This window comes from Homo sapiens, chromosome 7, assembly GCF_000001405.40.
Source record: "Homo sapiens chromosome 7, GRCh38.p14 Primary Assembly".
Lineage (NCBI taxonomy): Eukaryota > Metazoa > Chordata > Mammalia > Primates > Hominidae > Homo > Homo sapiens.
In genome coordinates, this window is record NC_000007.14 from 64,060,547 (window position 1) to 64,074,527 (window position 13,981).

The window sequence follows — 13,981 nt, forward strand, 5'->3', positions numbered from 1 at the left end:
TGGCACCTTCAGACCTGAAAGTAATTCCAACACCATGGGAACCTGAATCCCAGATCTTTAGCCAGTGGGCTAACGTTTTGTAAATTTTGTTTATCTTTTCAAAAAACTAACTTTTCATTACGTTTATCTTTTGATATTTTGTTTTGTATTCATTTATTTCTGCTGTAATTTTTATTTTTTTCTTCTAATTTTGGGTTTGGTTTGCTCTTTTCTAGTTCTATATGATACATCAATAGTTTATTTGGAGTTTTTTTTTAAACTTTTTTTGATGTAGGCACTTATTGCTATAAACCTTCTTAGTACTTCTTTCACTTATTCATAGCTATGTTTTTCATTTCTTTCAAGAACATTTTAAATTTTTTTCTTAACTTCTGTATTGGCCCACCAGTCATTCAGGAGCATATTTTAATTTCTCTGTGTTTGTATAGTTTCCAAAGTTTTTTCTGTTAGTGATTTCTAGTTTTATTCTATTATCGTCAGAGAAAATACCTGATATAATTTTATTTGGGGAGAGCTTATTTTAAGAGTTATTTTGTGACCTAACATATGGTCTATCCTTGAGAATAACCCAGGGGCTGAGGTGTAGAATTTGTATTCTGTGGCTTTTTGATGAAATTCTTTGTAAATATCTATTAGGTCTATTTGGTCCATAGTGCAGATTAAGTCCAATGTTTATTTGTTGATTTTACTATCTGGATTATGTGTCTGCTGCTGAAAGTGGGTTGCTGAAGTCTCTAGCTATTATTGTATTGGGGTTGATCTCTCTCTCTTTAGCTCTAATATTTACTTCATGTATCTGAGTTCTCCAGTGTTAGGTGCATATAAACTTGCAATTGTTATATTCTCTTGCTGAATTGACCACTTTTTTATAATATAACTTTTGTTTTCTCTTTTTATAGTTTTTTTTTTCTTGAAATCTGTTTGGTTTAATATAAGTATAGCTATCCCTGCTCTTTTTTTTGTTTCCATTTGCATGGAGTATCTTTTTCTATCCCTTTATTTTCAGTCTTTCTGTGTCTTTATTGGTGAAGTATGTATCTTGTAGGAAACAGATTGTTGGGTCTCGTTTTTATTTTTACCCATTTGGCCAATCTGTGTCTTTTGATTGAGGAGTTAACTTAATTTACATTCAGTGTTATTATTAATAAATAAAGACACATCTGCCATTCTGTTATCTGATTTCTTGTTTTGTAGTATCTTCTCTCTCTTTTTCTCTCCTTTTCTCTCTCCCATTTATCCTGTCTTTATTTTAGTAAAGATGATTTATCTAGTGGTGTGTTTTATTTTTTATTTTTTGATTTTATGTATGTGTGTCTATTATAAGTTTTTTTATTTGAGGTTACCATGAGGCTTGCAAATAACATCTTATAACCCATTATTTTAAACTGATGGCAACTTAACACTTATAAAAATGAACAAACAAGCAAAGAGAAAACTAATAAAAAATACAGCTTAACTTTATCTCCCAACTTTTTAACATTTTGTCGTTTCTATTTATATCTTATTATGCTGTCTATGTCTTAAACTTGTGTAGTTAGTATTTTGAATAACTAAGCCTCAAAAGTAGAAATATAAGAGTTATGGCCTTAAGGAGGTAGAGAAAGAGTTATTTTTTTTAATAATTATAAGTATGGACTAATCTTTTAGTCTTCTCAAAATATGAATAGTTTACATACCATATTTACAGTGCTAGAAAATTTTGTGTTTGTCTGTGTCCTTCATATTACCAGTGAGTTTTGTCCCACATGTTTTCTTATTGCTCATTAATGTTCTATTCTTTTAGATTGAAGAACTGCCTTTAGCATTTTTGTAGGACAGGTCTGGGGGTGTTAATAAAATCTCTCAGCTTGTTAGTTTTTTTAATGGTTGAAGGATATTTTTGCTGGATGTATTATTCTAGGATAAAAGTTTTTTCCTTCAGTACATTAAGTATGTCATGTCACCATCTCCTTGACTGTAAGATTTCCACTGAAGAGTCCATGGTCAAACATATTGGTGCTTGTTTGAATGTTGTTTCTTTTCTCTTGCTGCTTTTAGAAACCTTTATCTTTGACCTTTGAAAGTTTTATTATTAAAGACCTTCAGGTGGTCATATTTAAGTGAATTGTACTTGGCATTCTATAACCTTCTTGTACTTGAATATATATATATATATATGAAGTTCTCATTATCCCTTTGAATAAACTTTCTACCCAGAACTTTTTCTCTACCTCCTCTTGAAGGCCATAACTTTTAGAATTGCCCTCTTGAGGCTATTTTTTTTTTGTCTCATCTGACTGTATCTTTTCAAATAGCCTGTGTTCAAATTCACTAATTCTTTCTTCTGCTTGATCAGTTCTGCTGTTGAGAGACTCTGATGCACTCTTCAATGTCATTTGAATTTTCAGCACCAGAATTTTTGCCTGATTCTTCAAAATGATTTTAATCAATTTATTAAGTTTATTGGATCAGATTCCGAATTTCTTATTTTTTTTGTTGTTATTTTGAATTTTGCTGAGCTTTTTCAAAACAGCTGTTTTGAATTTCCTGTCTGAAAGGTTACATATCTCTGTCTCAGGATTTGCACACTAGTGCCTTATTTAGTTTTATGAGGTTGCGTTTTCCTGAATAGTCTTAATTTTTGTGGATGTTCATTGATGTCTGGGCATTAATGAGTTAGGTATTTATTTTAGTTTTTGCATTCTGGGCTTTTTAATACCTGTCCTTCTTAGAAAGGCTTTCCAAGTATTCAAAGGGAATCGAGTGTTGTAATCTAAGTCTTTGATCATTGCAGTCATATCTGCATTAGGGGACACCCCAACCTGAATAACACTGTGATGCTTGCAGACTTGTAGAGGTACCACTTTGGTGGTCATAGGTAAGATCCAAGAGAGTCTCTGGGTTACCAGGCAGACTCTTTTTCTATTTTTTTACATTCTGCCAAATAAATGGAATCTCTCTCTCTCTGCATGCTGAGCTGCCTGGAGCTGGAGTGGGTGTAACACTAGCACCCCTGTGGCCACCATCACTAGGACTACACTAAGTCAGACCCAAAGCCAGCACAGGACTGGCTCTCACATAAGGCCCACAGTGACCTAGCTACTACTGATGTTCACTCAAGAACCAAGTTCTCTTCAGTCAGTAGTTGGTGGATCAAGCCAGGCTCATATCCTTTCCTTCAGGGCAGTGAGCTCTTACCCACCCTGGGCTGGGGGTAGCAAAATGCAATTTGGTAGGAAGAACATGGAGTCAGAAGCCTTAGGAATCTACTTGGTGCCCTATTCTGCTGTGGCTTAGCTGGCACCGAAGCCATGAGACAATATCCTTCCTACTCTTTTCTCTCCTTTCTCAAGCGTAAGAAGCCATTCCCCATTGTCACCACCACCCAGAGCCCACAGTAAGTACTTCCAGGCTACTGCTGATATCCAGTGAGGACCCAAGGGATCTTGTGTCAGCTTGTGGTGAACTCTGCTGGGCCTGCTTCTTTTGCTTCAGGGCAGTGGGTTCTTCTCTGGCTCAGGGTGGTTCCAGAAATGTCATCCAGGAGCCAAGGCCTGAAATCAGTGACCTCAGGAGCTATCTTGTTACTGCTACCTCACTATGACTGAGCTGGTAATCAAGCTTCAAGACAAAGTCTCTTTTACTCTTCCCTCTCTTTTCCTCAAGCAGCAGTCTCTCCACATGGCTGCCACAGCTTGGATTGCACTGCACTAGGCCTCAACCCCCAAGGGCTGCAAGAAGTACTACTTGGTTACTGCTGATGTTTATTCAAGGTCGAAGGTGATGAATCCTGCCAGAACTGGTACCTTCCCTTCAAGGCAGTGTGTTCTCTTCTGGCCCAGGGTATGTCTAGAACTGTCACCCAGGAACTAAGTCCTAGAAAGGGGGCCTCAGAGCTTTTTCTGATGTTGTATTCTACTGTGGCTGAGATGATGTCCAAGCTGCGGGACAAAGTCTTCTTTACTCTTCTCTCCCCTTTCCTCAAGTAGAAAGAAAGATTTTCTCCTGGAGCTGTGAACTGCACTGCCTGTGCCTGGGGTAAGGATGATGCAGGCACTTTCTTGGCCATCCCAGCTGGCATCTCACAAAGCACCAGGATTTGCCCAGAAATTGCAGTCCCAGTGGCTTACCTTTTAAGTTTATTTAGAACCCCAGAGTGCTTTAGCCCATGTGATGCGGCTACCTGAAACTAAAGTTTTGATTACTGAAATGGACACTTCCTCTCTGACTACGGCTAGTCTGAGTGCTCCCTCTGCAGGCTCTGGCTGAATTCTGCCCCATGTTGCTTTCTGCTGTGACAGGCAGCACTGAGTTTTACTGCTAAGTCTCACAATTACTGCACTCTCCCTTTTGTAAGCCCATGGATTTTCTGCCTCTGCCAAGGTGCATTTCCAGGGAATGGAGGAGGGCTGCTATTGGCAATTAACAGCTTTGTTACCCTCTTCAGTGCCTCTTTCATGTGATGCTAAAACTAGGTCCTGTGATCGCTCCCCAGAGTTTTGGTTCTTAGGAAGATGCTTCTTATTTGGATAGTCATTCTACTTGGTGTTTTATCTGGGGGATGGTTGCTGGAGGGTGCTATTTAGTCATCTTGCTCCACTTCCCCCCTGCAGCCATGTTGTTTGAATTAAGTGCCACATGTGAGGCTAAGGTGAGCCCAGGGTCAACCACGAGTGCTTTCAGATACTTTCACGAGAGGTGAGTTTAGTTTTAGTCCCAGATAAAGATCATAGAGACTGCTCTGCTTAGGTTTGGTAGGGGCAGGTCACTGCGGCCCATATTCTCATTGCTGCAGTAGAAATTTCTGGCATCTGTGGCAGAGAAGGGCAACTGAGTGTTGGAAAGGGGAAACTCATATTTTGGTTTTTATTTAGGAGTTTACTGGTTCCAAACCTCCCCTGTGATAAAAGACAAACAAAGGCAGACTTTATCTGCAATTCTAGGGCCTTCTGCCTGTGAGTGTGGTGATTTCAAGGGAAGGAGTTTTGCTCATGCTTCAAAGGCATATTCTCAAGAAACAGGTTTAATTTGTGCAGATAATCACACCTGGAAGGGATCACAGAGAAGGAGAAGAAAAATAAAGAAATGGCTTATTCTGAGGTGAATGTGTCTGAAGTCAGAGACTGTGTCCACTTTTTCTTCTGAAATATCACGTGTGTAGAACTTGCAAATGTTAACTTCTCCACTTGTGATGTTCTTGCCTAATCAGTTTAACTCCTTTTCCACTTTTTATTCTCCTGATAGTCAAGGGGCTCTGAGAAATACTTCTTTCTTGTGTACCAGAGCCTTCTCTTTATTTTCCACATTGTAGCTTTTAATAAGCCGTGAAAAAATTGTCACCATGAATTTATAACCTGCAGCATTACAAATGTTCCTTTTGTGGCTGTTGAACATGGAAAGGTGTGGATGCCCAAGATTCCTGTTTGAGATTGTATCAGGTCCTTGGTTATCACTGAAGAAGGAGACCATGTTCTGTTTAGCTTCCATTAAATCTGTGCAAAACTGCTTATAAAAATGCACATTTAATGAGAATGGTCTTTATTGCCCAGGATAAGTCAGAAAGTTCTGAATAAAAAATAATTAGAAGAGACTTCCTCTCTAGGATGCTAAAGCAAGGAAATAAGAGAGGACACAAACAAATTGAAAAAAAAATTCATGCTCATGGATAGGAAGAATCAGTATCATGAAAATGGCCATACTGTCCAAAGTAATTTATAGATTCAATGCTATTCCCGTCAAGTTACCATTAACTTTCTTTGCAGAATTAGAAAAAAGTACTTTAAATTTTATATGGAACCAAAAAAGTGCATATAGCCAACACAATCCTAAGCAAAAAGAACAAAGCTGGAGGCATCATGCTACCTGACTTCAAACTATTCTACAAGGCTACAGTAACCAAAACAGCATGGTACTGGTACCAAAACAGATATATAGACCAATGGAACAGAACAGAGGCCTCAGAAATAATACCGCATATCTGCAGCCATCTGATCTTCGATAAACCTGACAAAAACAAGCAATGAGGAAAGGATTCCCTAGGTAATAAATGGTGCTGGGAAAACTGTCTCGCCATATGCAGAAAACAGAAACTGGACCCCTTCCTTACACCTTACACAAAAATTAAATCAAGATGGATTAAAGACTTAAAGGTAAAACCTAAAACCATAAAAACCCTAGAAGAAAACTGAGGCAGTACTATTCAGGACATAGTCGTGGGCAAAGACTTCATGACTAAAACACCAAAAGCAATAACAACAAAAGCCAAAATTGACAAATGCGATCTAATTAAACTAAAGAGCTTCTGCACTGCAAAAGAAACTATCCTCAGAGTGAACAGGCAGCCTACAGAATGGGAGAAAAATTTTGCAATCTATCCATCTGACAAAGGGCTAATATCCAGAATCTATAAGAAACAAACAAATTTACCAGAAAAAACTAAACAAACAGAATGAGAGAAAATTTTTGCAATCTATCCATCTGACAAAAGGCTAATATCCAGAATCTGCAAGGAACTTAAACAAATTTACCAGAAGAAAACAACCCCATCAAAAAGTGGGCAAAGGATACAAACAGTCACTTTTCAAAAGAAGACATTTATGCAGCCAACAAACATGAAAAAAAACTCATCATCACTGATCATTAGAGAAATGTAAATCAAAACCACAATGAGATAGTATCTCATGTCAGTTAGAATGGTGATTATTAAAATGTCAGGAAACATGATGGTGAGGATGTGGAGAAATAGGAACACTTTTACACTGTTCTTGGGAGTGTAAATTAGTTCAACCATTGTGGAGGACAGTGTGGCAATTCCTCAAGGGTATAGAACCAGAAATATTGACCCAGCAATCCCGTAACTGGGTATATACCCAAAGGATTATAAATTATTCTACTATAAAGGCACATGCACATGTATGTTTATTGCAGCACCATTTACAATAGCAAAGGCATGGAACCAACCCAAATGCCCATCAGTGATAGACTGGATAAAGAAAATGTGGCACATAAACACCATGGAATACTATGCAGCCATAAAAAAGAATGAGTTCATGTTCTTTGCTGGGATATGGATGAATCTGGAAACCATCATTCTCAGCAAACTAACACAGGAACAGAAAACCAAACACCGCATGTTCTCACTCATAAGTGGGAGTCGAACAATGAGAACATGTGGACACAGGGAGGGGAACATCTCACACTGAGACCTGTCAGGGGATTGGGGGCAAGGGGAGGGAGAGCATTAGGACAAATACCTAACACATGTAGAGCTTAAAACCTCGACGACAGGTTGATAGGTGCAGCAAACCACCTTGACACATGTATACCTATGTAACAAACCCACGTGTTCTGCACATGTATCCCAGAACTTAAAGCTTTTAAAAAAAAGTTTAACTAAAAAAGAGAAAGACTTATTTATATACACCATTAGAGATTACAGAACATGAGAGATATTTGTAGCTTAAATTTTGCTTAAAACTGATGTTTCTTCATGACTAGGCTCAGATTAAGTTGACCCTTTTTTGTGTTAATGTTAATCATAGCACAGTAGTGTCATATCCTTTGTTAATCAGCACCGGATACAAATTTCTTTTAATATAGTTGATCTTCATTTATTTACTTGGTAAAAATGCTCTCTGACAGATATTTTTTCACTCGAGTTAATTATTATACTCTTTATTTTTAATAGGTACCTTGAGGAGTTTTATCAAGTGATGTGCAAAAACAAGATTAAGCCACATTTAATCTGACAGCTCTTCTTTCTTCTTACCTTCTCTTTGCATATCGCTTCCTATGGAAAGTGAAGGCTCTCATCTTTCTTTACTGGTCAGATAAACTAAAAACCTAGGCTGTGCCACTTACTGAATTTTTGACAAAATATTCTCCTTGGGCCAGAAGCAATGATACCACTGGCAAACTTCTTATCAATTCAAAAACTCAAGCTTTACCCTAGATCTTCAGAGTCAAAATCTGCTTTTTAACAAGATCTCCTGTTTATTGCTATGCACAATAAGATTTGAGAAGTATGCTTTTAACTCACCATGAAGTTTCCATGTGGGAAGTATAGACAGCTCATCTTGTATTATGTAAATATAGCATTAAGTAATGTTCATGCCTGTGTTAATGTCCTTCATTTTATACTGTATCATCAAGAAAAGTATTGTATATACACTGGTTTCGTGATCTTATGCCATTTTTTCTCAGAGTTAAAAATACATTAGAGAATATTTCTGTGCTAGAAAGTATCCTATTGGATAACTCCAGTAACTCATATAAGTCAGAACCAGCTCTCTTTACTCTCATTTTACCTGATGTCAAATCAAGAATTATTTCTTTGGTCACTTGGTAAATATGTTTTGTTTTTCAGCGAGTGCTAACATTCAGGGATGTGGCTGTAGAATTCTCCCCAGAAGAGTGGGAATGCCTGGACTCTGCTCAGCAGCGTTTGTATAGGGATGTGATGTTAGAGAACTACGGAAACCTGTTCTCCTTGGGTGAGAATAACTTCAATATACAACTCATATTCTACATTAAATATTTTATTTCCTCTTTTTTTTTTTGAAGTTCTGCTTTGCATAAATGAGTTTCAGAATCCTGCTTCAAAAAGAAAAAATTGGGTATCTGTTTAGGTAGTAAATATAATCTTTAAGATGTTTCATCTTAACATTAATCTTTCCCTTTTTTGAGCTCATCTGTATATTTCAGTCTAAATTATGGTAATATCAGAAATTTGATAGCATAAAATATTGTTACCCACTCCTAAAAATGCAATTTTCACAACTGATTTTTGATGCAATATTACTGGGTAATAGAGCTAATAACCCACAAATTTACTTTCTAAATATTCTGAAGTTTCTGTTACAAAACAGTAGATTGGAATTAATTTTCTAGAGTCTTCTATAATGTTCTCTCTTCTCTACTGAGCATAGTACTAGATTGGTAATCAGATTATCCTAGCAAGAGTCATGTTATTTTTTTCTAATAAAACAGGTCTTGCTATCTTTAAGCCAGACTTGATTACCTATCTGGAGCAAAGAAAAGAGCCTTGGAATGCGAGGAGACAGAAGACAGTAGCCAAACACCCAGGTAGGTGGGAGTGAGTGAAGCAAATGACATAAATGACGGTTCCCAATGTCAAGGAGGAAGCCAGACCTTGAAACATGCTTCCAGAAGCTCTGCTCCAGTGGAAATCGTTTCTGAGAAGCCTTCATTTCTTTCTCTTGCTTTAACATAGGGGAATTTTTTGTCCCATTCTTGTGAATTTTCTAAGCACTGTACATCCCCTTCAGTAATGTGTGTTGTTGTTGCTGCTGTTGTTGTTTTTTTTGTTTTTTGTGGGTTTTTTGAGTTTACAGTGATAAAGTCTTTTTCATGCCTTAAAAGAAAATGTGTGATTTGACTGCTTTTCCATTGCTTGGGGGAAACAGCAGTATCTATTTTTGAGAAACTATATTAAACCATTTTTTTAAGTTCTGTTTTTGGATAATGTCTAAATGTAGAAGTTTTGGTGATATTGCAATTTGGATCAGAAATCCCAGGAACACCACAAAAAGATGTGTGCTTCCTGCTTTATAATTTTCTATTCTATGGAGGCTTCAAATGTGATTTTACAGAAATTTATACTCAGTAATTATATTAAAACACTAAGCATCTCCCTAAATGAAACAAACTCTAAAATAGTATTACTTCAAATGTTATTCTTTTCATATAAACAAATGTTGGCAAATGTGGCCAAATTCCTCAACTGTAATATAGTTCAGTGTATCTACTTCATACATTTATTAAATATACTGTGTCATTGGGGAGCTTGCAACATTGTTGAGTACATATTAAACTCCCAATCTTTATTTTAAATGACATCATTTTGTGATTTTATTTAGTATAAAGCTTACTGTGACTGTGTCATTCATATGTATGTATATAAACATGTGTATATATGAATGTGTATGACAGAGACATATAATACCAGTAACGTCAATTTTTTCACAAATAATAATTGAATACCTATATATTATATATAATGTATTGATTTTATATCTGTATACATAATGAAATGATTAATACAATCAAATTAATGAACAATTTTATAACCTTACATACTTACTTTTTTGTAGTGAGAACAGTTAAGATCTCTCAGCAAATATTCAGCATACCTAACAGTATTACTTTCTATAATCATAAAGCTATACCTTAGGTTACCATAACTTATGTCTTTTCACTGAAAATTTGTACCATTTGAACAACATATCCCACTTTCCCCACCTCTAGGGCCTAGCACTCACCTCTATACTCTCTTCTTCTAGGAGTCCAACCTTATTATATTCTCCATAGAGGTGAGATCATACAGTATTTGTCTTTCTGTTTCTGTGATGTTTCACTCGGCATAACGTCATCTAGGTCCACCCATGTTGTAGAATGTCAGGGTTTTATTATTTTTTATGGCTGAATAATATTCTGTTTTGTATATATACCATGTTTTTTTTTTGTGCAGTCAGTTTCCACAAACACTTTAGATTGCTTTTGTATCTTGACAATTGTGAAAAATGCTTCAATGAACATGGAGGTGCAGGTATTTCTTTGAGATAGTAAATTTATTGTATATGCAGAAATGAGATAGCTAAATTGTACAATAGTACTATTAAAAATTTTTTTAAAGAACCTTCATACTGGTTTTCATAATGTCTCTAAGAAATTACACATCACCAAGAATGTACATCATTTTTTTTCTTTAATATATTCTTGTCAACACTTGTTATAAATCTTCTTTTTGGTGTTAGCAGTCCTAACAGGTATAAAGTAATATCTCACCATGAATTTAATTTGCATCTGCCAGATTGGTGACATTGAGCACCTTTCTACATACCTGTTGCCCAACTATATGTTTTCATTAATTAACATTTATTTAGTCCTTGACTTATTTTTAAATCTTGTTATTATTACTGCTATTATCATTATAGTTGCCTTTTATTTATATGAGTTTCTTATGTTTCTTATGTGTTTTTGATACTAACCACTTATCGGATATGGTTTTCTTATACTATTTTTTCTTGGTTATGCAGAAGCGTTTTAGTTTGATGCAGTTTAATTTGTTTATATTTGCTTTCATTGCTGTACTTTTCTGTTGTATCCCAAAATTCATTTTCAAAACCAATATTAAGGTTTTAAACTATGTTTTCTTTTAAGATTATTAAGAATTTTGTCATAGAGTCCTTATTTTATATTTAGTTAATTTTAAATACAGTGTAAGAAAAGTGGTCTAATTTTATTCTTTTACTTCTGGGTATTCCCTTTTCCCAGCCCCAAGCATGGAAGAGACTGTACTTTCTGCACTGTGTGTTCTCTGTGGCTCAGTGTCAAAGATGAGTTGATCTTACATGATTTGTTTCTGGGCTCTCCATTCTGCTCCACTGATATCGGTGTGCATTTTTATCCACAGAGCATCCTGTTTTTATTACAATAGCCTTCAAATGTAGTTTAAAATTAGAAAGTATAATGCCCCTAGCTTTGTTTTTAATTCTCAAAACTGCTTTGGCTATTTAAAGTTTCTTGTAATTACATATAAATTTTAAGATTGAATTTTCTATTACTTCGAAAAATTGTACTAAAATTTTAATAGGGGATTTATTGAATCTAAATTTTCCAATTTTATAGACTGATTTCAGCAGGTACAAATCTTCTCTTGGGTCAGTTAGCTGATAGAATCTTTTTGGGTATGCAGTGGAGAGGGGTTATACGTGGGTCACATGGCTGCTTCTTGGTCTGTTGTGGAGTTTGCCTTTAGTGAGTTTGTTACCAGGAGCCTGGGTAGTTGTTAATCCTGTCTTATTTCTTGGCAGACTGAATTGCCTTTAGGACTTTGATCTGTAGGGCTAGCACTAGGGCAGAGTTCTGCAGTAGGTTTGGCATATGGTGTGCCTGATGTGTGTTTCTTACTGAGTATGTGGCAGGATTTCCTCAGGTCACTCTCTGGGCACCTAGATTGGCAGAACTGGCCACAAACTGTGACTATCGGTGCTGAAACTGAGTCACTGAACTGTTTCAGAGAGCACAGTAAAGGCCAAGGTCTGCAGACCTACTGCTGTAACCACAAATAGGCATCTTTCTTTGGGTCTCTGGATGTGCAGAACCACTCCTTGACTATGGCTGGAAGGAGCCGGAGATAGTTATAGAGTCACTGCAGAATTTTAAGTGGGTCAAAATAGGTGAACCATTTCTTGGTCTGTAGCTAAGACCAAGCATTTTCAAGTTTGCCGCCTGAATGAGGGCCTGCCTTTTCAAAATGACTCCAATCAATCTTTAGTTCTAGCAGGTTTTAAAACCCTCTCCCTGAAAAACAAAATTATGATAAAAGTCTCTTCTTTGATAAGGGGTCTCACCGTATCACCCAGGCTGGTCTCAAACTCCTGGCCTAAAATGATTCTTCTTCTGCCTCACCCTACAGAGTTGCTAGGATTACAGGTGTGAACCACCAAGTCTGTCTATTTCTTATAAGACTGTTCTAGGGGTAATGAACACCCTTACCTTTTGTTCATATTAGAAAGTCTTTATTTTTTTCTTATTTTTTAAAGTAAATTTCTCCCAGATTAAGTATCCTTGATTGGTAGCATTTTTTTTTCATCACCTTGAAATTTGGGAAGTTCTTAGGCCCTTTTTTTGTTTAAATAACCTCTGTATGACTTTTCCCCTGCATTCTTCTTCAAAGACTGCTTTCATGAATATATTGGTCTCCTTAATGGTATCTAATAAGTTACATATTCCATGTTGATGTTTTTCAATTTTTTGTGTGTTTTTTTTTTTCATGACTCAATATTTATAAGTAACATGTCTTTAGTTTTCTGATTTTTGTTTTCTGGTCAATTATTCTATTGTGACTCTACAAAATTTTTCAACAATTATTTTTCTGTTCCACGATTTCTACTGGGTTCTTTTTTTTCTTTGTTCTATTTTTGAGTTATTGAGCATACTTAGTATCATTATTTTGACATCTTTGTCGGATAATGCAAAGATCTTCTTTTCTTAAGGATTGAGTTTTGGAAATTTATTTCTTTAAGTGGGGTACGTTTTCTGTCTTTTTTATGTCATGTCATCCTTTTTTGAAATTTGGAAACTTAAAAACAGCCATCTAATCTAATATTTAAAGACTTGCTTAAAGACTGGCTATAGCAATGGGCCGGGCTATAGATTTTCAGTGCTTCACAAACATGTTCTCAGTTGTCTTTGGATTTTTGTGTGTAATTTCTAAGATAAAGAGACTTTTCCTCATTTTCTTTTCAGATTCTATAATCTTTTGCTTCCCTAGTTGACTGTGGCATTGCAATTCCTCTAGTATTGTAACAAGCATTCACCTTTCTTCTAGCACATACAAACTATAATTCTCATTACTCCATCATTTTCATATTAAGGGAGACAGACTCTATTAATTGGACAGTCTCCTATAATTTCATAACTTTAAACAGACCCACTGTTCTAGATCTCTCCTGAGGGTAGTACTGGGAGTTGATTGTGCTTTACTTAGCCTAATTGGTGTTGAGGGAAAGAAAGGTTGGGTTGGAAAGTCTTTAAGCTAGACCTGGTTACCTTCTGCATCATAGAAAATATTACTGGAGTGTGAAAAGAGTGGAAAGAATAGTTTACACTCAGAATGATTTGGTAGATAACACATGTGAAATGTCCAAAGGCGAAGGAGAAAACAAGAGTTTAAATTGTGGATTGGGAAGCTGTTCTCCAATGGAATTGATTCTTGAAAAACCTCTTACTGTCATGGAAGAAAATTTTTTGATGCATACTTATTAGGCTTTTGAATTCTCTAAATCTTCAGTTTATTTAATAATCTGCTGGTGCCTTCACAGTGAGAGACAAACTCATATTTTTGCTGTGAGGATCTAAATAATGTAACTGCTCTTCTGTTGCTTTGAGGGATTTGGAAAATTTGTGCAGATTTTTGGAGACCACTATGTTAAGCTGTTTTTAAAAATCTGTTTGTGCCTTATGTTAGACATCTGTG

The 13,981-nt window shown here is 36.0% G+C and overlaps 1 protein-coding gene across 4 annotated transcripts in view; it reads left to right on the forward strand.

Moving 5' to 3' along the window:
- The window catches only part of ZNF727 (zinc finger protein 727), a 39,906-nt gene that overhangs the window by 15,113 nt on the left and 10,812 nt on the right, over window positions 1-13,981 (forward strand). For 3 of the 4 annotated variants that reach the window (XR_242241.4, XR_927469.2, NM_001159522.3), the window contains exons 2-3: window positions 8,345-8,471; window positions 8,968-9,063. Coding sequence is in view for 2 of the 4 variants with exons in the window: in NM_001159522.3 (NP_001152994.1) it covers window positions 8,345-8,471; window positions 8,968-9,063 (223 nt within the window). In the remaining 2 variants the exon portion in view is untranslated. The remainder of the gene's footprint in view (window positions 1-8,344; window positions 8,472-8,967; window positions 9,064-13,981) is intronic. The other variant, XM_017012225.3, reaches the window with a different exon arrangement.